This window comes from Homo sapiens, chromosome 1 (genome assembly GCF_000001405.40).
Source record: "Homo sapiens chromosome 1, GRCh38.p14 Primary Assembly".
Taxonomy (NCBI): domain Eukaryota; kingdom Metazoa; phylum Chordata; class Mammalia; order Primates; family Hominidae; genus Homo; species Homo sapiens.
Genome location: NC_000001.11, coordinates 222,836,043 through 222,856,790, shown reverse-complemented (window position 1 = coordinate 222,856,790; position 20,748 = coordinate 222,836,043). Strand labels below are relative to the sequence as shown.

The following is a 20,748-nucleotide window of genomic DNA, read 5'->3' as shown; positions in this document are numbered from 1 at the left end:
AGAGGTTGCAGTGAGCCAAGATTGAGCCACTGCACTCCAGCCTGAGTGACAGAGTGAGACTCCATCTCAAAAAAAAAAAAAAAACGAATTATAATAAACATAAAAACATATTGTCCAGTTAACTCAATATTCTTGCCCAAATGGCACATGCCATCAATGGATATCGTATGGTAGGCAGCAGATGCTTTCCATGACACCAACTTCCAAAAATTAGGTTCAAATCCCTAATACATTCTTGTTTTTCCTTAATACCCTACTATGTGCCTGTCTCCCACTGTTTTTTGTTTATCATCAAACTGCTATCTATACTAGCCCTAAAAGAAAGTCTAGTTGTGTCAGTGTGGAAAAGGCCAACTATCTCCAGTTGCTGGAATCTCAGGCACATTATCACTGACTTCTTGTGGGAAAAGACAAACACTGCCTTCAAGTTCGGAAAAGGAAAATTAAAAACAGTAAGCACTCATACCTGGATTAGTAATGAATGACAGCAACACAGCCTGGAACTATTAGTTTCATCTGGGCTACAGGAATTTTTGGCTGCAGCTGTGCTATTTGCTGAGAATTTTGAAAATTAAACACTGATCCACTAAAAGTAGAATGTGCCTATGTAATTCACAGTAACATGTAGTCCCTTGCAGCTAAAGGTTTATATATCTAATAAAGGACTACATGTCAAAATAAAGTTCTCAATTTTTCCATTTGAACTCGATAAAAAATAAATGATAGTGATGGAGCTCAAAATATTCACACCCTGGAGCTGCCAAGCCAAATAATTTAATATCTTTTTAAACAGAAGAATCTTTTCCCCCAGGACATATTTTTCAAAATATTAAATGTTCTGTTAGTTTAGCTCTCCTCTTGCAAGCAGCTGCATTTTTTTTTTTTTTTGAAACTGGAGAATGATGGTCTTGTCTCTCTTATAATTGGAGAAAAATTCCAGTCGCATTAGATAGGAAGCATTCAAATCACACACCTCTATAGCTTATAAATTATAGTACTCTTAAAATTATATGAAATTTGAATTAGTCAAAATATCTTCAAAATTTTGGGAGAAAAAATGTTTTAAAATAAAGAGAAGGGAACCACTTCACACTGCAAAATTAAGCTAGTCAATTCCCAAATTTCATTTCATTAGGTACGTAAGGCATTTAGCAACCAAATAAGATTAACTGTGAAAATCAGAACACGCTGGTATAATGAAGAATTGGTCCTTGACTTAAGAAGTATGGTGGCATAGCTGTATCTGCTAGTATATAATAACGATTTCCATGTGCTAACCCTGCAAAGGTTAAGGCTCATTATTGGCTAAAATACACTGCTTTCTAACTAGTTCAGTTTGTTGATTACTTCCATATATATTCTTCCTAATGAAGATAATACAAATTTCCATTTAGGTAAAAGATTTAGGAAGATAATTTTCAGGGCTTTCAAAAATTGTTTAAATCTTTCTTTTCTAACAGATCTTAACTAGTTCCCAACGCCTGGAACTCAAGTGTTATTTGTCCCTGCTTTCCTTTCTACAAAAAGGTTTGTGTGAGAGGGGCAGAGGGAATGGCAGAAGAAAAGAATAAGAGAGCACAGGTGAAAGGTCTTGATGTGGCTCCTCATCATACATGATGGAACCCTCAAGAGTTGGTACACAAACAGTAACTCAGGAAGATTCTATGACAAAGAAGCAAAAGCTAATTTATTATATTCAAAGTTCTTTGTTTTCCTTTGTGTCTAGTAGAAGTTCCTTAGTTAAAGGATGTGGGGATAAGACCCCTGCCCTTCTTGGCAACCCTATTCCCACTAGTAGTACTGAGGTTCCTCTGAGGAGCCCCAGAGCTCTCTGGACAAGTTTGAAAATGATTCAGAATGAGCTATCCCACTTTTCCAGGCCACACAAATAACTGTTAGGTCTCTAAAGAAGCCATCCTCCTATTCCCCAAAATCTTGTTCATCCCAAGCAGTTAGGTATACCCATTTATCTCCTTAACATTTGGGTTTCAAAGCACCGTATTCTGGGTAGGCGTAATATTTGCCATTTATGATTAAAAAAAAAAAAGCAAAACACTGAAAATTTAGGCTCAACTATAGGATTCCCAATTAACAAACTGAAAGGAGAACACTGCAACTCACCAGTTCACCATCTTTAACATAAAAGGATCAGTGTCCAAACGGTATTCCTTAGTGCCCAGAATTCAGAACTATCTCCAAAACAGTGACTCAAGCATCCTAATGATATGGTTTGGCTATGTGTCCCCACCCAAATCTCACCTTGAATTGTAATAATCTCCATGTTTCAAGGGTGGGACCAGGTGGAAGTAATTGGATCATGGGGGCAGTTTCCCCCATGATGTTCTCGTGATAAAGAGTGAGTCTCACAAGATCTGATGGTTTTATAAGCATGTGGCATTTCCCCTGCTTGCACTCATTCCCTCCTGCCACCCTTTGAAGAGATGCCTTCCGCCATGATTGTAAGTTTCCTGAGGCTTCCCCAGCCATGCAGAACTGTGAGGTCAATTAAACCTCTTTTCTCTATAAATTACCCAGTCTTGGGCAGTTCTTGACAGCAGCATGAGAACGGACTAAGACGCCTAGCTTCTATGATTCAGTCTTGTTAAGAGATCTGTGAATCAAGGAAACAGAGTTATAAAAAATAAAGCTCTTGCAGTTTTCTTTCCCCTATATTTATAGTCTGTGGCCAACATCTTGCCATGGTGTTTTCTTTCCAGAGCAAATTTTATATGTTTCAAGGCACAAAAATCTTGATGAGAGCTTGTTAATTGACAAAAAATAATTGTAGATATTCATGGGGTACATGGTAATGTTTTGATACATATAATGATCAGATGAGGGTAGTTAGCATATTCATCATCTCTAACATTTATCATTTCTTTGTGTTGGGAATGCTCAACATCCTTCTTCTAGCTATTTGAAACTATACAATATATTCTTGTTAACTATAATCATTTGCAGTGATATAGAACACTAGACCTTATTCCCCTATCTAGCTGTAATTTTGTATCCCTTAACAAACCTCTCCCTATCCCTCCCTTTCCCCTACCCTTCCCACCCTCTGGTATTCTCTGTTCTACTTTTTACTTCTGTGAAATCAACTTTTTTAGCTTCCACAAATGAGTGAGAACATGCAGTGTTTAATTTACTGTTCCTGGCTTATTTCACTTAACATAATGTCCTCCAGCTCCATCCATGTTGCTGTGAATGACAGGATTTCATGGTTTTTTTACGGCCAAATAGTGTTCCGTGGTGTATATATACATTTTCTTTATCCATTCAGCTGTTGTTGGACACCTGGGTTGATTCCATATTTTGGCTATTGTGAATAATGCTGCAATAAATATGGGGGTACAAATGTCTCATTGATATTTCCTTTCCTTTGGATAAATCCCCAGTAGTACAATCACTGGATCAGATGGTAGTACTATTTATAGTTCTTTGAGGAAGCTCCATACTGTTCTCCATAGTAGCTGTACTAATTTACATTCCCACTAACATATAAGTTCCCTTTTATCCACATCTCCACCAGCATTTGTTATTTTTTATCCTTTTCATAACAGCCATCCTAACGGTGGGATGACACCTCCAACGTGAGCCTGGTAGTTCTTTTCTGAACAGCCAAAAATCATGGCCTGCCACCAACTTCATTATTAAAACACAGAAAACAAATTAACAGAGACTAAATGAAAGACTCTCTTTTTTCTATGAAATAACTAATTTTTCTATGAAATAATTAATGGCATTCTAAAGCAACATTTACTCTCTCCTCAGACCCCATTCTTCATTGCACTTACTACTATTTGTATATGAATACATTTGGTATATATACACAGATATATTTGTTTTTCTCAAATACCCACTACTCACTATTGTACACCCAGAGCCCCCCATATGCCAGGCACTCAGTTCACTTTTGTTAAATATGTATTTAGCATTGTATTATCTATGTTCTACATGCTAACCCAAAGTTCATCATCAGTGGTTAAAAAAAGGAAGGGGGATACACAAGGTTTGTGTTTGTTCATTTGGTTTGATTATTCCCCAGGAGAGCCAAGGTCTTAAAAATTGGTATTTTATTTTTGAGGTCAGAATTATCAGTGCAAAGATTAAAGCAGTGCTATTTTCAAAGGAATAGTTTCCTTCTTTAGACATCTAAACATGAACAAGATGTGTAAAGAATGACTTACTGGGTTATCTCCTTTTCTTAGAGGAGTTCTACATTTTTCAGGCTGTCATGATGATTCATGTGAATGATGATTTTAGTTAAGAAAACAACTTTGGTGCCGGGCACGGTGGCTCATGCCTGTAATCCCAGCACATTGGGAGGCCAAGGTGAGTGGATCACTTGAGTCCAGCAGTTCAAGACCAGCCTGGGCAACATGGTGAAAATCAGTCTCTACCACAAAAACAAAAAACGAAAAACAAAAAAACCACCAAAAAACAAACAAACAAACAAAAAACAACTTTGGCTATTTGGCCAACTAGAAAAAAAAAATACTAAAAGTCTACATGACTGTTTTGTTATGGAAGGCTTTAAAAAAAAAAACCCCAAATGCTGTCAATTTGGAATTTTTTTTCAGTAAATTTATTTATTTATTTATTTATTTTTGAGTTGGAGTTTTCCTTCCCAGGCTGGAGTGCGATGGCGCGATCTCGGCTCACCACCACCTCTCCCTCCCAAGTTCAAGCCATTCTCCTGCCTCAGCTTCCCGAGTAGCTGGGATTACAGGCATGCGCCACCACACCCAGCTAATTTTGTATTTTTAGTAGAGATGGGGTTTCTCCATGTTGGTCAGGCTGGTCTCGACCTCTCAACCTCAGGTGATTCGCCCGCCTCAGCCTCCCAAAGTACTGGGATTACAGATGTGAGCCACTGTGCCTGGCCTCTAGCAAATTTATAACTAATTTTAAAACATTATTTTTCTACTGGACAATTAGCTTGTAAAATGCTGAATGCTTTGGTTCCAAGCTGGCTTGGATATTTCACACAGAAATGGAAAAAAAAAAAAAAGAAATATTTACCTTGTTTTAAATTGAGCTGGCCATTTGTTATGAATATTTGAAACTGGGAAAAAGAACTTTTAGGGAATGCACAATGCAAAAAAAGTTTTAAAAACAAAGTTGTTATTTATAAATATTACAACATAACACAGTGATGCCACAATTAATGAATCACCTGGGGATGAAGTTCCTTTCTAATACTATGATGCAAATCCACTATATGTGCTGAGTAACACTTTTTATTGTATAGAAAGTTTCCCTAATACTAATGAGGCAAATGGCAGAGAGGCTCAACAAATCAGCTGGGAGGGAAGGGTCGCTACATCCTATCAAGCAATGGTTCTTAAACTCATAAAATTAGTGAAGTCCTCTGAAACCCTATAAAGAACTATGGAACCTCTCGTTTAAAAAATGTGTATTCGGCTGGGTGCAGTGGGTCATGTCTGTAATCCCAGCACTTTGGGAGGCGGAGGCGGGCGGATCACTTGAGTTCAGGAGTTCAAGACCAGCCTGGCCAACATGGCAAAACTCCGACTCTACTAAAAATACAAAATTAGCTGGGTGTGGTGCCGTATGCCTGTGATCCCAGCTACTTGGGAGACTGAGGCAGGAGAATCACTGGAACCCAGGAGGCGGAGGTTGCAGTGAGCTGAGATTGTGCCATTGCACTTCAGCCTGGGCAACAAGAGTGGAAACTCTGTCTCAAAAAAAAAAAAAAAAAAAAATTAAAAATGCATATTCATAAAATTTTATATAATTTCAGAAGTTAGTAGGTCCTCTGAAGGACATTCAGAGATCTCAGGTTAACAGCCCCTGTGGCAGAAATACAGAGATACAGGCCTATGAAGGAAAGAGTAACCAATGGGCCTGTCAGATAAAAGAACAGGAGTTGGCACTATTCACAATAGCAGAAACATGAAATCAACCTAAATGTCCATCAATGACAGACTGGATAAAGAAAATGTGGTACACAGTAAATGTACTACATTTATTATGCAGCCATAAAAAAGAATGAGATCATGTCTTTTGAGGGAACATGGAGGGAACTGGAGGCCATTATCCTTAGCAAACTAATGCAGGAACAAAAAAACAAACATTGCATGTTCTCACTTATAAGAGGGAGCTAAATGATAAGAACTTATGAACACAAAGAAGGAAACAACAGACATTGGGGTCTACTTGATGGGGGAGAGTGGGAGGAGGGAGTGGGCAGAAAAGATCACTATTGGGTACCAGGCTTAATAACTGGGTGATGAAATAATATGTACAAAAAAACCCCATGATACATGTTTACCTATGTAACAAACCACATGTACTCTCAAAACTAAAATTTAAAAAAATTAAAATACAGTGGGAAAAAAAAAGTGTAGCAGTTGGAGGATGGAAAATTTTAAAAGAATAATAAAAACATGGGGTAAAGTGGAGAAAGCAGAGGGTTTAAAAAGAGAGAACAAGGGAGCTAAACAAAAAAAATGGAATGGTTACAAAACTAAAGAGAAAGGCAAAAACAATAATAATCATAATCAAGAGGGTTAGCAAAAGAGAGAAAAATGGAGGGAAAATGCACAAGGAAAAAATGTCTACTTATGTTGAACTTTACTGCCAGCATTTATTAAGGGTTTCTCATGTGCTAGTAACATGCTAAGCATTTTTTTTATGTCACTCACTTAAATTTCACAGAAACCCTATGGGGCTTATCTTATACATTTTACAGCTCAAGAAACTGAGGCAGAGAAATGTTTAGAATACTGTTCAATAGCCTAGAAAGTGACAAAGTTAGGATTTAAACAAAGCCAGCCTCTCAATCTTTATTAGCCATGTCCACATACAACCTGTCTTTCTAACACTCTAAAAGGCATCTCTAGACCTCTCCTGTTTGTGTTCCTTCTGAAGACAATTTGCTAATAAGGAAGGTGACACTAGAATAAATTTTATTTCTTAATAGATATTGTACCAGAATCTAAATTACATGCTCACTGAGATCTAAAACTGGTATGATTTTCATTTCAACCAAAATGGTACCTTTATTTGGGTTTTTAATTTTTAGAAATTTCACAATTTCACTTGTCAAAATACTTCATGTACATTAGAATATTTTCAAAAGTGTACACAGAAGTATGGCCTGTAACAGTCTACTAGTATGTGCTAATACTCACTAAGGTGCTTCAAATTTCACAGCCTCCTGCTAAGGTACATGTTTGTCAGATTGGTGGCCAGCTGTTTCATTTTAGTTATTTTTTACAATACTGTTTTGTTAAAGCTGCCTTCCCAAATCATGGATACATTTTTTTTTTAGGTACAGTGATCTTGAAAGGTTTATGTTATACAGATTTGGTCTATTGCATCTCAATGTGGTTTTCATTTAGACAGCCTTTTTTGTATAAATACTAGGTTTAGAAGTAACTTCGTTCTTCTCAGAGTTTCAGTAATTGGTATTTTTCACATGGTTATTTGCGCAAAAAATAGAATGTATGCTTGAAAGCAGGGTTGCCCCTTGACGATGTGTTTCTCTTTTATAAGTGAGTGGTTGAAATAATCTTGTCACAGGTGTGGAACAAATAGAGAACAGATGCTTGGATTAAAAATGCATTAATTTGATCTTATATAAATACAAATTAACTACCTGATGGTAGTCAAATAACTGAAAGAAGCATTCAGAGAAAATAATACTAGAACATTAGTGCTGAAATTACCATCATTTTATTAATATGTAGTATACACACATTCACTCTTGAGGACTACACATGGAATACATATTAAAAGCAGAAAATACAAAAGACACACTCCAAAAATGTGACTTTTTGCCTTCTTTGTGGTATTATATAAAGATATGGTGAGGTACAATCAAGCACTTTGGGACATAGTTCATGGGAAGTCAGCATAGAAATACTATTTAAGTATTCTCATCCCATCCCCATATTTAGAAAAATGCCTCAGTGAATGTGTAGAGCTCTGATATAAATATTTCCACATTAATGGAAGACAACTAAGTACACTGCTATACATATATTAGCCCCTGCATGTTATTTATATTTATTTATTTATATGTCTGTTTCCCCAACTAGCCTGTGAGCTGCTCACGGTAGATATTATATCCTATTCTATGCTCAAACCCTGGCACAGTGAGGTGCTGCACAGGTATTTGTTAAATGAAATAAGACACAGTCTCTGCCCTCAAAGAGCCTGCAATCCAGGACATCTGTAAGTCTAAATAGCTTAACTTTATCTAATATTGGACACATTTTTACACATAATTTATCTGTATATAAAGAATATGAACTTTTGCCATTCCATACACAAAGTATAAAAATTAAGAATCCTACAAGTTTTTATTTTTTTTAAAAAGCCACTACTTACTATAATTTTTACTTTTTTTGTAATTTACTCTCCTATTGTTTGTAAAGTTTATTCCTTTTATATTGAGATGCTAATAGTCGCTAATACGTGTTGACCATTTTATACTACACGACTGGCACCACACTGACCATTTTATGTGCATTCTCATTTAATGCTCACAATCACTCTAGGCGATAAATACTACAGTGTCCCACTATCGGGCATGCAATTTAAAAAACAAACAGATAAAAAGAACAGAAGAATATAGTAAAAGAACAATGTAGAACAGGATACAATGGAGATGGCATTTCAAATCAATGGAGAAAAGATAAATCAATCAATATGAATGTTGAAATAACTAGTTATCCATTCAGAAAAATAAAATATAATTAGATCCTAAAATATTCCCCCCAAAAAATCTCAGGTGTACTGAAAATTAAAATGTAAAAAAACCAATAGGTTCACAGAAACCAAGAAAAAAAAAGGCATAAAAAGTACTATGAAGTTTATTTTCATAACCTTTATTTGTGACATAAAAGCCAAAAGCCATTAAAAAAGAGAAAGATGGACAAAACTGACTAGTCACAAGTTTAAAATTCTACATGGCTCCTTCCTTTCTTCTATTATTTTTAACCATTGGGCTAATTCAAAAAAAAATTCACTGGGAGGAACTTTCTTCCTTCTCCCTTCCCTTTTATCCTTCTCCCTTCCCCCTGGGTTGCACATGGCTATTGGGGGTGGGGGTTGGTGTGTCTTGGAGCAAAATATATTGACTTAATAGAATCCAGGTTTCCACTGCAAGAGGAGGGAATTGCAAACAAGGAAAGGGAAAAGGCCAGAAAAAAAAATAATCTATTGGATTGGATTGGAATTGGAGGTATAGGTGTAAACTTATAGTTATTTATAAAGATGGTTTGATATAGAAAATAAATATGGATATATGTGTACTATCTATATTCCTGTGTGTATATGCACATACACATTTTTATATGTGTAAATACAACTTATAAGCTCTCTCCACTGACAAAACCTAAAAGAAATGATGTGTTCATAGCAATGAGCACACCCAGTGTTCAGATCTTTGTTTCTAAATACCATTCTCCACTAAAAATAACCAGGACCCTTGAATGAAATGGCTGAGTACAGGACTAGAACAGGGAAAGTATAAGATGAGCCTAGAATATCTTATTATGACAGAATTTAAGAAAGTTCTCAAATAACTATGAGGACATGTCAAAAGGACACAATAGTTAGCTTAACGTATGTCATTTCCACTGGCCATGCCTGGGATAATATGAGCATCAAAATAAATAAGGATAATACAGTTTTACCTCTGTGGAAAGAATGATATGAGATGTCTGCATATCTAGACAAACACCGACAGAATATCCTTATTAATGGTCAAGTTGTATTGGAAACAGAGGAGGGAAATACAGTAGAAATCTATTTAGTGGCATTATTTTTTTAATCATTTTATATAATAGATATAATAGTTTCACAACAAAATTTAAATACTGTTGAGAAGCTACAAAAATTATCACAACGGAAACTATGCAATAACATAAAAAATTAGTCGCAGTGAATTAAACAAAAAATGTTTTCACTAAGAATCTGACTATTCCTCAACATGTATACATGTGGACAAGGACAGAATGTCCTGCTATCACATAAACTCAACAGTTTGAAAACAGAACTCTTCTCCATTCATCACAATGGAGAATCATAAAACTTCCCTTTGTCCTATATTCTAGTTTTGGCCACAGGCCATTCTACTTCCTGCAACCACAAGCCTTAGATGCATCTTTACTTCTGCCTCCATGCTCACTCCCCATCCAATTCATTGTCTCTAAAATGTCATCAGATTTCTCCTCTTCCCTGCTTTTTTGATATGCAGAACTGCTATCCTAGTTCTAGTCATTATCAACTCATATTCCCTGTCCTTTCACTCTTTTTTTTTTTGAGACAGAGTTTCACTCTTGTTGCCCAGGCTGGAGTGCAATGGCACAATCTCAGCTCACCACAACCTCTGCCTCCCGGGTTCAAGCGATTCTCCTGCCTCAGCCTCCCGAGTACCTGGGATTACAGGCATGCGCCACCACACCCAGCTAATTTTGTATTTTTAGTAGAGACGGGGTTTTGCCGTGTTGGCCAGGCTGGTCTCGAACTCCTGACCTCAGGTGATCCGCCCGCCTTGGCCTCCCAAAGTGCTGGGATTACAGGCATGATCCACCACATCTGGCCTTTTCACTCTTTTCATTGCAACCTCCACACTGTCACTAAAGTTGTCTCTCTGTGCAAACATTTTCAAAACAGAAAAAAATCCATAGTCAACATACATAAAAATTAACTCAAAATGCATTATAGACCTAAATGAAAAAGCCAAAAACTATAAAATTTCTAGAAGAAAATCTAGAAATAAATCTTCAAGACCTTAGGTTAGGCAAAGATTGTTTTAGACAGCATACAAAAAGCAGAAGCCTTGTAAAAATAACTGGTAAAATGAACTTCATCAATCAAAACAAAAATGTCTACCAAGGACATTGACTAGTCACTAAAAATCCAGATTCACTGTGAATTATTTTGAATATTAAAGCATGTCAAGTGGCTAGTACATTTCCAAAAATTACACCCCAAAACAAATTTCTATCCCAAAAGTTATATATCATAGAGGGGAAAAAAGTAAATTATCTTGTGATAGAGCTGACATTAAATGGTCTTGTTGAGATACAGATAGAGCCAAAACACACAAATACATACACATAAACAAATCAGTTCACAGTCATAATAAATAATATTAAGTAAATAATAATTCAAAATGACCTAAACATATTGTTCAAAAATCCAGAAACTCAAAAAGCACAGCATTAAGAAATATTTATTGTGCTAATGAAACTGCATTGCAAATCTACATAATGTTTCAAAAACACTTGTTGAAATAGATTTAATATTTGTGGGATTTTTGTCTCTTACATGGAAAAAGTACCTAAGTCAAAACAACTTTGAATAAAAAATATGCTGAGATTTTCTTTCAAGAGTCCTTTTAAGCAACAGTATCTATGGTTAAATGTCAGAACAACATATAAATCATTAGATTATATTTACTATCCATCTAATAATTGTCTTCCACTTCTTTTTTTCACTTTAGGATGACAAATGAACGGATGAAGAATCGATTTTGAATGCACTTACAATACTTCACTGTGCCTTTCTTTGGCATTTACCAAAAGCAAAGTAAATTAATTTAAATATTCTTTAAAAGAAAAATCATTTTTGCAAAACTCTTTAGCACTACCAAAAGCTAGCAATGGCAAAAACTGCAACTGCGTTTGCACCAACCTAATATTTTAAGTGGAGATTTGACCTTTTTAGCACTACATCACAAAAAGTCATTTTACCTTAATAAACTACAATGAGCAATTTTCCTGAAATATAGAGTCAAAAAGTTAAAGCATTCCATTTTAGTAAAGTCAGTTGGCTAAACCCTAAATGTTGAGTTTGAAGTTTTAATTGTTGCCCAGCAATACCCATCCTTTTATATTAAAAATACCTCTTTCGTGGTCTACAACTAAATGTAAGCAATTGTTGAAGTTGCTGGGGGGTTATTCTAAATCTCACTTTGCTTCCCAGTATCTTAAACGACTCACACAGAAATACAATTATCAATACAAATCTCATTGTAATTGTTCCATTCTGTTTCCTTGTCACATGGCACAATGCTGCATAACGCATTTTTTGTATTGAGAAAAACTCAATGTCTCACTAAGAAACAGCTTTGAAAATTGGCTCATGGCCTATTTGCAATTGATACTAAAGCTTAAATACCTTTCCTGCAAATTTACACTAACTTCAAAATACTCTGGGATTAACCATTAAAATGTTTTTGTTTCAGTTACAACACTAATGAACACCAAATGTTAGAATTTGTTTTAACGGTCTAATACATCAAGGATTTTCTTAAAAGGAAAGGCTGGATCGGCTATCCATTATATAACTGAAGGCAGATTAGTCAGTACTGATATAGATAATACTTGAAAGATTTAATACTTAAGCGTACAATCAAGCATAAGTTTAATTCAGAAAACCTGCTAAATTAGCCATCATATTCTTTCCCTATAAAAATACTAAACTCCTGTTTTCTAAGCTACACTTGAAAGCCTCCTTCCTTTCACTCCGTACACAAGCCACTTAATCTTCAACCTGATTTCCCCATTCCTATAAAATGAGGTGATGCTACTATGCTGTCTTACATCACAAAGGAATAAAAAGAAACAAAGGAAGCAAAAAGGGAATTGAGGGAACCTCAACACATCAGGTCTATTAAAGCCTGATAAAAACAACTGATATGATGAGATTTTAGGAAACAAATGTGTAAATGCTGTTTTAAAAATACAAAGACTGGAGAATACTCTGGATACATTCTAGAGATAAACACTTAGCATGTAAAAAGGTAGTACTTTAAGGACTATCGTAATTCCATGGGTGCCTTTCCTAGCCCCAGCACCACACTTCAACAGGGGTATAATATATCTATATCTTCAGCGTAAAAACAAGAGTGACATGATTTATCTACTTTTTCTGGGGCTTTTGCGTCTTTTAATGCTGACTCTCCTGTGGAATGTTATCTGTTTGGGGCCTCCCCAATAACTAACCATCCTGGTTGCTACAATTTCATCTTTCTCTTCCACCATGTTTTCATTTTTCTTTCTTGTCTTTTGATTGCTATTGTGATTTAATACTTCTTGGCCTTCAATCTGGACTTTTACAGAACTCAAGAAGCAGATGCTTTTCCTTTTAGTTAATTATTAATCACTCCTTTCAGCAATAATAGTCAAATGTTTGTTCTTGTTTGCTATTTTTATCACTGCTCAAAAGAAATTTCCCCCCCCCATCCTTCATTAGAGAAGGTCTCTCCCCTGCCTTATTTCCATGTTTCATTCCATATTCTCAATTAGGATATAGATCACTCAGTAAATTTTTACGAGCCATACCATACTAGAAATTTGAAACAGACTACTCTATAAAGAAATGGTTTAGCAAGCAAACAGTGTAAATAAGATACATGTAATAAAAGCTAAAACTTTTGAAAAAAATATTTTAAATAATGTCACTTATTTCAGAAGTACATATATATTTGCAACTGAACTAATTACAAGTCACTGTTATTTATTCTTTAAAGGATTTCCACCCAGAATCTTCTATGTTGGCATAATTTTAGACACAGTATTTGCAGTGATAACACTGCATTTCTTAAAACTATTCTGTTTTTTTTAATACTATCTTGGATTTGCCTAGCTTCCCCGATTAGTCAAAATTAATGAGGTTTACCATTCTCTCATTATATATCAAGTGAGAGATTAAAGTCCTCGGTAAGTAATGTGTCTATAAAAGCAAGGTCCAATGTTATATAAATTCAAGGAAGATGCATTCCACCTCAAATTTCTAATAATTTTTAAATGCCATTCCTAAAATCCATTTATTAACTACGAATGAACTAATAATGGCATATTTTTGATGGGCTACTATTCTGAAACCTCATCAAAATAATAGATCTACTGTTACACTGTCACAGAATATAGCATTATATCCCAAAGAGTCATCTGTGGAGCATAAAGTGCATCAGACAACCATAAGATTAGGAAAGAAAAGGTTCTGAGGTCAAACAATGTGGGAAATGTTGAGCTAAACAAAATTAAATCCATTTTTATTACCACAGGACTTCTTAGTACCATTAATAAATTAATGTATACTGTGACTCTCCAAAGCCTGTGTGTTAACAGATGCATGTTTGTATGTTGGGAGGGGCAGTATTTATGCAATTGTTCCTCAGTTTATGATTATAAAACCATATTCCAGCAAGCCATCTCCCATGGAACATACTTTGGAAAATACTAATATACATGGATCGCTGTCACTATTGATTGCTGTTTTTGATATTTAATATAAAGCAATTTCTGCCAGACACTATATTTATAAAAGTACTAATTATCTAGGGAAAGAGGGAAGGCATAAAAAAGAAAGTATAGCTATAATCTCCTTCTAAAACAGTAATACCTAAAAGGACAAATAGTGTTCTGTCCATATTTAACCCTTCTGCTGTGGCTATAGAATAAAACAGACAATTCCTTTTTTTTTTTTTTAAAATGACAGGTTTTATTTAACAGATGCCTCCGTGAATTTGGACATCCCATTTTTAATTAGGCTACCTGAGGGCTTTAAACAATCAAAATACCAAAAAATATCACAAAAGGCTTTAAAAAAGAGCTGCATATAGCAGTAAATAAAGTGTGAATTTAAGCACCTTGATTTGTAAACTATCAAACACAAACTTAAACTAGACTAGAGTTTGAATCTTCAGACCTCTTTCCTAGACCACTAAACAAGGTAAGGAACAGAAACACTCCAGTTCCTCAGGTACCAAAATAGTTAGCACATAAGGGCATTACTAGGTTCAAAATTCATTAGGTACTTATCACAAATGACAAAAATAATTGAAAGATGTCTAAAATTCCAATCCCTCTGGATCCCACCTCCCATTTTTCCTCTGATATTTCAGAGATGCTTCAGCCAGAAAGAATACTTTACCAATACCAACAGAAAGTAAAGCACTCCAACAGTCACACATACATATTCCATCACATTTTGAAATAATGCCAAATTTTACCAATATCAATATTTTATCCATATAATTATTAGCACACAGACATCAAATATGCTTATAATAAATATCACTTTTAAAAATAAAACAGTATACTCATTAAATAGCTTGATGATAAAAGACAAGTACAGTGAATATTACCATTTGAAAATTTCTATTTTAATAAAATTTACTATAAATAACAAAAGCCCCACTAGTAAGGGCAGTCTTCTGGAGATGGAAATAATTTTTAGAGCTGGTACTTTTTAAAAATAGGAGTCTGTCTAGCGTAGTGGTTAAACACATAAACTTTGGAACCCAGACATGAGTTCAAGAAGTCCAGCTCTGACACTTACTAGCAGGATAACCTTGAGTGAGTACCTAACTTCTCTGTGCCTCAGTTTCCTCTTGTAAATGGAATATTAGCAGTAACCACCTTATAGGGTTATTAATGAGGATTAAATGGTTTAAGAACAGCACCAGGCACACAGTAAACAATGCATAAATGTTTGACAAATACAGGTTTGTTTAGTGTTATGAGATCCTACTAAAAAATAAAACTACTTAAAATAATGTATAATAAGCTTTTAAAAGGAAGGAGTCAAATATGTAGAGAAAGAAAATAAAATATGCTAACAAAAGAAAAATTTACAGATGAAAAAGGTATGTACTACACTAATTAGCATATACACACTGATTTAGTCATTAATTCATTCTTTCAAACATATTATTAATAGCATTTTATATGTCTGGCACTGTGCTATGTAATGGAATCACAATGATAAATAAGACAAAATCTGTGTCCAAGATTAATCAGGTGCTCTACTCACCTTTGCATTTATTATAATAATAATTTGATGACAGTAAGTTGTGTACATATAGTATTTAACTAAATGGTATAACTATGCACAAATTGGGGTTTTGTAATTATTTTTATTTTTTTAAGAACCCTTCTGGCTGGGCGCAGTGGCTCACACCTGTAATCCCAGCACTTTGGGAGGCCGAGGTGGGCGGATCACAAGGTCAGGAGATTGAGACCATCCTAGCTAACACTGTGAAACCCCATCTCTACTAAAAATACAAAAAATTAGCCGGGTGTGGTGGCGGGCACCTGTAGTCCCAGCTACTCGGGAGGCTGAGGCAGGAGAATCACTTGAACCCAGGAGGCAGAGGTTGTGGTGAGCCGAGATAGCACCACTGCACTCCAGCCTAGGCAACAAGAGCAAAACTGTCTCAGGGAAAAAAAAAAAAAAAAAAAAGAGATACTGTACTAATGGCCAGGCATGGTGGCTCACGCCTGTAATCCTAGTACTTTGGGAGGCTCAGTGGGTGGATCACTTGGGGTCAGGAGTTCAAGAACCAGCCTGGCCAACATGCTGAAACTCCATCTCTACTAAAAATACAAAAATTAGCCAGGCATGGTGATGGGCGCCTATAATCCCAGCTACTTGGGAGGCTAAGGCACAAGAATTGCTTGAACCTGGGAGGCAAAAGTTGCAGTAAGCCGAGATCATGCCACTGCACTCCAGCCTGGGTGACAGAGTGAGACTCGGTCTAAAAAACAAAAAAACCAAGATACTGTACCAAAAACAGGGAGATTAAATTTATACAGTGGTCCCTGATTTATAATAGTTCGACTTTACCATGGTGGGAAAAGAATATGCATTCAGTAGAAACCATACTTTTGGTACCCATATGACCATTCTGGTTTTTATTTTCAGTACAGTTTTCATAAATTACATAAAGTATTCAACTCTTTATTATAAAACAGGCTGTTAGTTGATTTTTGCCTAATTGTAGGCTAATGTAAGTGTTCTGAGCACATTTAAGACAGGCTAGATTAGGCTTCATTAAGCTAGGTGTACTAAATGCATTTTTTTTTTTTTGAGACAGTCTTGCTCTGTTACCCAGGCTAGAGTGCAGTGGCACAATCTCAGCTCACTGCAACCTCCGCCTCCTGGGTTCAAGCAATTCCCCTGCCTCAGCCTCCCGAGTACCTGGGACTACAGGCGCATGCCACCATGCCCAGCTAATTTTTTGTATTTTAGTAGAGACAGGGTTTCACCATGTTGGCCAGGATGGTCTTGATCTCTTGACCTCATGATCCACCCGCCTCAGCCTCCCAAAGTGCTGAGATTACAGGTATGAGCCACCATGCCTGGCTCTAAATGCATTTTTGACTTATGATATTCTCAACTTCCAATGGGTTCATCAGGATATAATGCTACTGTAAATTAAAGAGCATCTCTGTACTAAGCAGTGAGATCACTCCCTACCTCTCAGTTCTCTTCCTTTGTTTAACTGTCAGAAACTAGTAGCAACTTGTACCTCCCAGGCAGGAGAAAGACTCTTCTTTGGAAAGAGACATCAGCCCAAGAGAAAAGGCTATAGATAAGTGGTGCCTAATCTTTTTGGCACCAGGAACCAATTTCATGGAAAACAATTTTTCCACAGACAACGTGGGCAGGGGTGATGGTTTCGGTAGGAAACTGTTCCACCTCAGATCATCGGGCATTAGATTCTCATAAGAAGCATGCAACCTAGATGCCTTGTATGCACAGTTCACAATAGAGTTCACACTCCTATGAGAATCTAATGCTGCTGCTGATCTGACAGGAGGCACAGCTCAGGCCTGCCACTTACCTTCTGCTGTGCGGCCCAGTTCCTAACAGGCCACACAGTGTTACCCGTCTACAACCTGGGAGTTGGGGACCCCTGCTATAGATATTAAGAGTCAGCAATGTCTCAATAAAATAAATCTGATCTTCAACTAACAGCCCTAGAGTGAAACCCATGCACACAGAGTTCCCAAGATTTTTAGTATTAGCTAAATGTTTGAGGAACAACCAAGGAATGCGCCTATCACAAAATAAAGAAACCAAATCAAATAGAAAAACAAACAAAAATACAATCCACAAATTGTTTTTTAAAACCAAAATTAATATATTTGGAGAGAGATGAAATTATAACCATAAAACAATAATAGACTATAAAAATGAATGCTCACAAAAGAAGAAAAGGCTTTGAAAAGTTTACTTATATTTTTGAGACACAGTCTCACTCTGTTGCACAAGCTGGAGTGCAGTGGCACAATCATAGCTCACTGTAACCTCTAACTCTGAGCTCAAGCAATCTTCCTACCTCAGCTTCCTGACTGGATAAGACTACAGACATGCACCAATGCACCATGCCCAGCTAATTTTTTTTTCTTTGTAGATGGGGTCTCACTATGTTGCCCAGGCTAGTCTTTTAACTTCTGGCCTCAAATGATCCTTCTACCTGGGGCTCCCAAAGTACTGAGATTAAAAGCATAAGCCACCATGCCCAGCTGAAAAGTTTAAATGAGAGCAGTAAATTAAAAAATATATAATAACATTGGAAGAAAAGGCTTAGAAAATCTCCCAGACACTAGAAAAGTAAAAATTAGAAAATCAAAATCCAGGAGTTTGAATATTAGACAAAAGAAATTCTAAAAAGAAAAAATGGGAATAAAAATTATCAGGGATATAATACAAGATAATTTCCCATAAACTCCAAGAAAACAAGTTATAGAAAAACAGTAAATGTAATCATAATCACTGAGTGGCTCAAGTATGAACAATACATAATTATAACAATGAAGACACTAACCAAAAATAGTGATAATTATATTAGGGAAAGAAAAGTTGAGAGGGAAAGGAAAAAACTTAAGTATAAAAAAGCTAAATCTTCCTTTGCCTTATTAGTAAGTCGACATATATGATTAAATTGGGAAAAAAATTTAAATGGCAGCATAATTACTATTGAGAAATAATAGGAAAAACTATCGAGAGGATAATAAGTAGTTGCCTCTGGGGATAACCATGCAGGGATGAGAAAGGGTGGACCAGGGAACCAATGTTTTTCATTATATGCATTATGTCATATTTGAGTTTTTAACATTAATTAAACCTATAAACTAACCTTTGTGAGAAACAACGTTTTATAACATTAAGTAACAAGAAATAGCTCTTCATAAATTTTATGGTTTTTTGGTCTTAATTAAACAGTTTCTCATAAAGGTCTTCTTGCCCATTTCTTATTTTTTCATTCTAGATAAATTATATTTTTGGTTACTATTACGAATGACATTATAGAATTTTGTTCTCTAACTGGCTGTTGCTAGTTATTTTATATACCTCTGTTAAATTGTTAAGAATCCTTGTTTTTATTTTTCTTAAATCCACTGATAATAGAAACTATTTTCATGATCATTACATTTAGCATTGTGCCCCACCCACAATAGATGGAAAGTGAATATTTAACAAATGGTAGATAATACTGATAATGGGCCACCCACTAAACTAGGCAATTTATAATCTCTGGTCTTCACAACTCTTTAAGGTAGTGTTTTGTTTAGGCCACTGGGCAGACTAATCAGCTATAACAAAGAAATACCAAAAAAAACAAGGGCTTAAAGAAGATAGAAGTTTATTTCTCTCTCACATAACAGTACAAAAGTAAGTGGATAACCTAGGGTGGAGAGACAGCTCTGCTCCAGGGAACCCAGACTAGCCAGTCAGTTCTGCTGTCTTCATCAATTGGCGTCCATCTCTGGATCCAAGGCTGCTGCTTTAATTCTTGTCATTTCCCAGCCAAAGAGAAAAAAGAAAAGAGGGCATCCAGGACAAATGGCTTTTTCTTTAAGAAGATGACCCAAAAAGTTGCCCGCATCTCTTCCTTTCACATCCCAACGGCCCAAACTTACTGGGCCCAATCTACCGGCATCTACCTGGGAAATACAGTTGCACTTGTGTAGTCATGGGCTAGCTTAAACTTCAGGCAGGACTAGAAATTTTATTTCTGAAAAGAAGAAAAGCAGAATGGCTACTGGAGTATATTTGGCAGTCTCTGTCATAGGTAGGTATTATAATCCCTATTAAAGATAAGAAAATTGAAAATCAGAGTTATTTACCTAAGGCCACATAGCCAGCAATGATTAAGCCAGGATTCAACTCCTCTTCTGTCTCTGGATCCAATACTGTCTCCACACTAAATCATGCTAAATAACAATAGGTGTGTGTGTGTGTGTGTGTATATATATATATATATATATTCTTTTTAATTTCTTGCTCAACTGGATGATTCTAACCAGTCTTGGGTGTCCTCCTTAATACTATTTGTTTTATTACAAAATTTCCTTCCCTTAGGTGGAAAGGACCTTGATATTTAATTCTAACTGTCTCATTTTACATAGTAAGCAACTAAAACTCAGAGATTAAATGAGTTGTTTAAGGTCCCACAGCCAGTTACTGAAAAACAGGGCAAGTACAGACCCTGGGTTCCTGATTTTCATTGCAGTGCTCTTTTCACTATCCTATTCTATCTTCCAGTGAAAATAAAGTTTGTCTGTCATAATTATAGTCACTCCCAGATGTTAAATGGTTTAAAATGATAATTCTTTTCTTCCAAATGATAAGAAAGCACTAGTTCCAAGCAGATATTAAAGTTTGGTCACACATTACCACTTCTGTACATTTGCTGAAAATTCATGAAGTAATGTTATCTTTGGACTAGCATAAAGCTACAGGAAGAAACCTTCACAGTCACAGTAGTTTCTCTGTGTATCTCTAAAACCTAGCACGCTTACTTACAAACATCATGAGAGTAAAATAATTTAAGGCTGTTTTTTCCCCCCAGTTATGTTTACCTTCATTTCATGGTCACTTAAAGATTCTAGTACCAAGTGTGCCCTCAGAAAATAAAACAACTTATTCCTCCTATCTCAAAAGTCAAAATTATTCATAGTCCACTAA

At 35.8% G+C, this 20,748-nt stretch overlaps 1 protein-coding gene across 59 annotated transcripts in view; it reads right to left on the bottom strand.

The window, feature by feature from the left end:
- Positions 1 to 20,748, bottom strand: part of DISP1 (dispatched RND transporter family member 1) — a 190,957-nt gene that overhangs the window by 149,205 nt on the left and 21,004 nt on the right. For 21 of the 59 annotated variants that reach the window (NR_165128.1, NR_165117.1, NR_165119.1 and 18 more), the window contains one exon: positions 19,407 to 19,795. The exons of 10 other annotated variants lie outside the window; for them this stretch is intronic. The gene's annotated coding sequence lies outside the window, so the exon portion shown is untranslated. Of the gene's footprint in view, positions 1 to 19,406; positions 19,869 to 19,907; positions 19,995 to 20,748 lie in introns of those variants that run through there. 28 more of the 59 variants (NR_165115.1, NR_165116.1, NR_165114.1 and 25 more) reach the window with 7 other exon arrangements.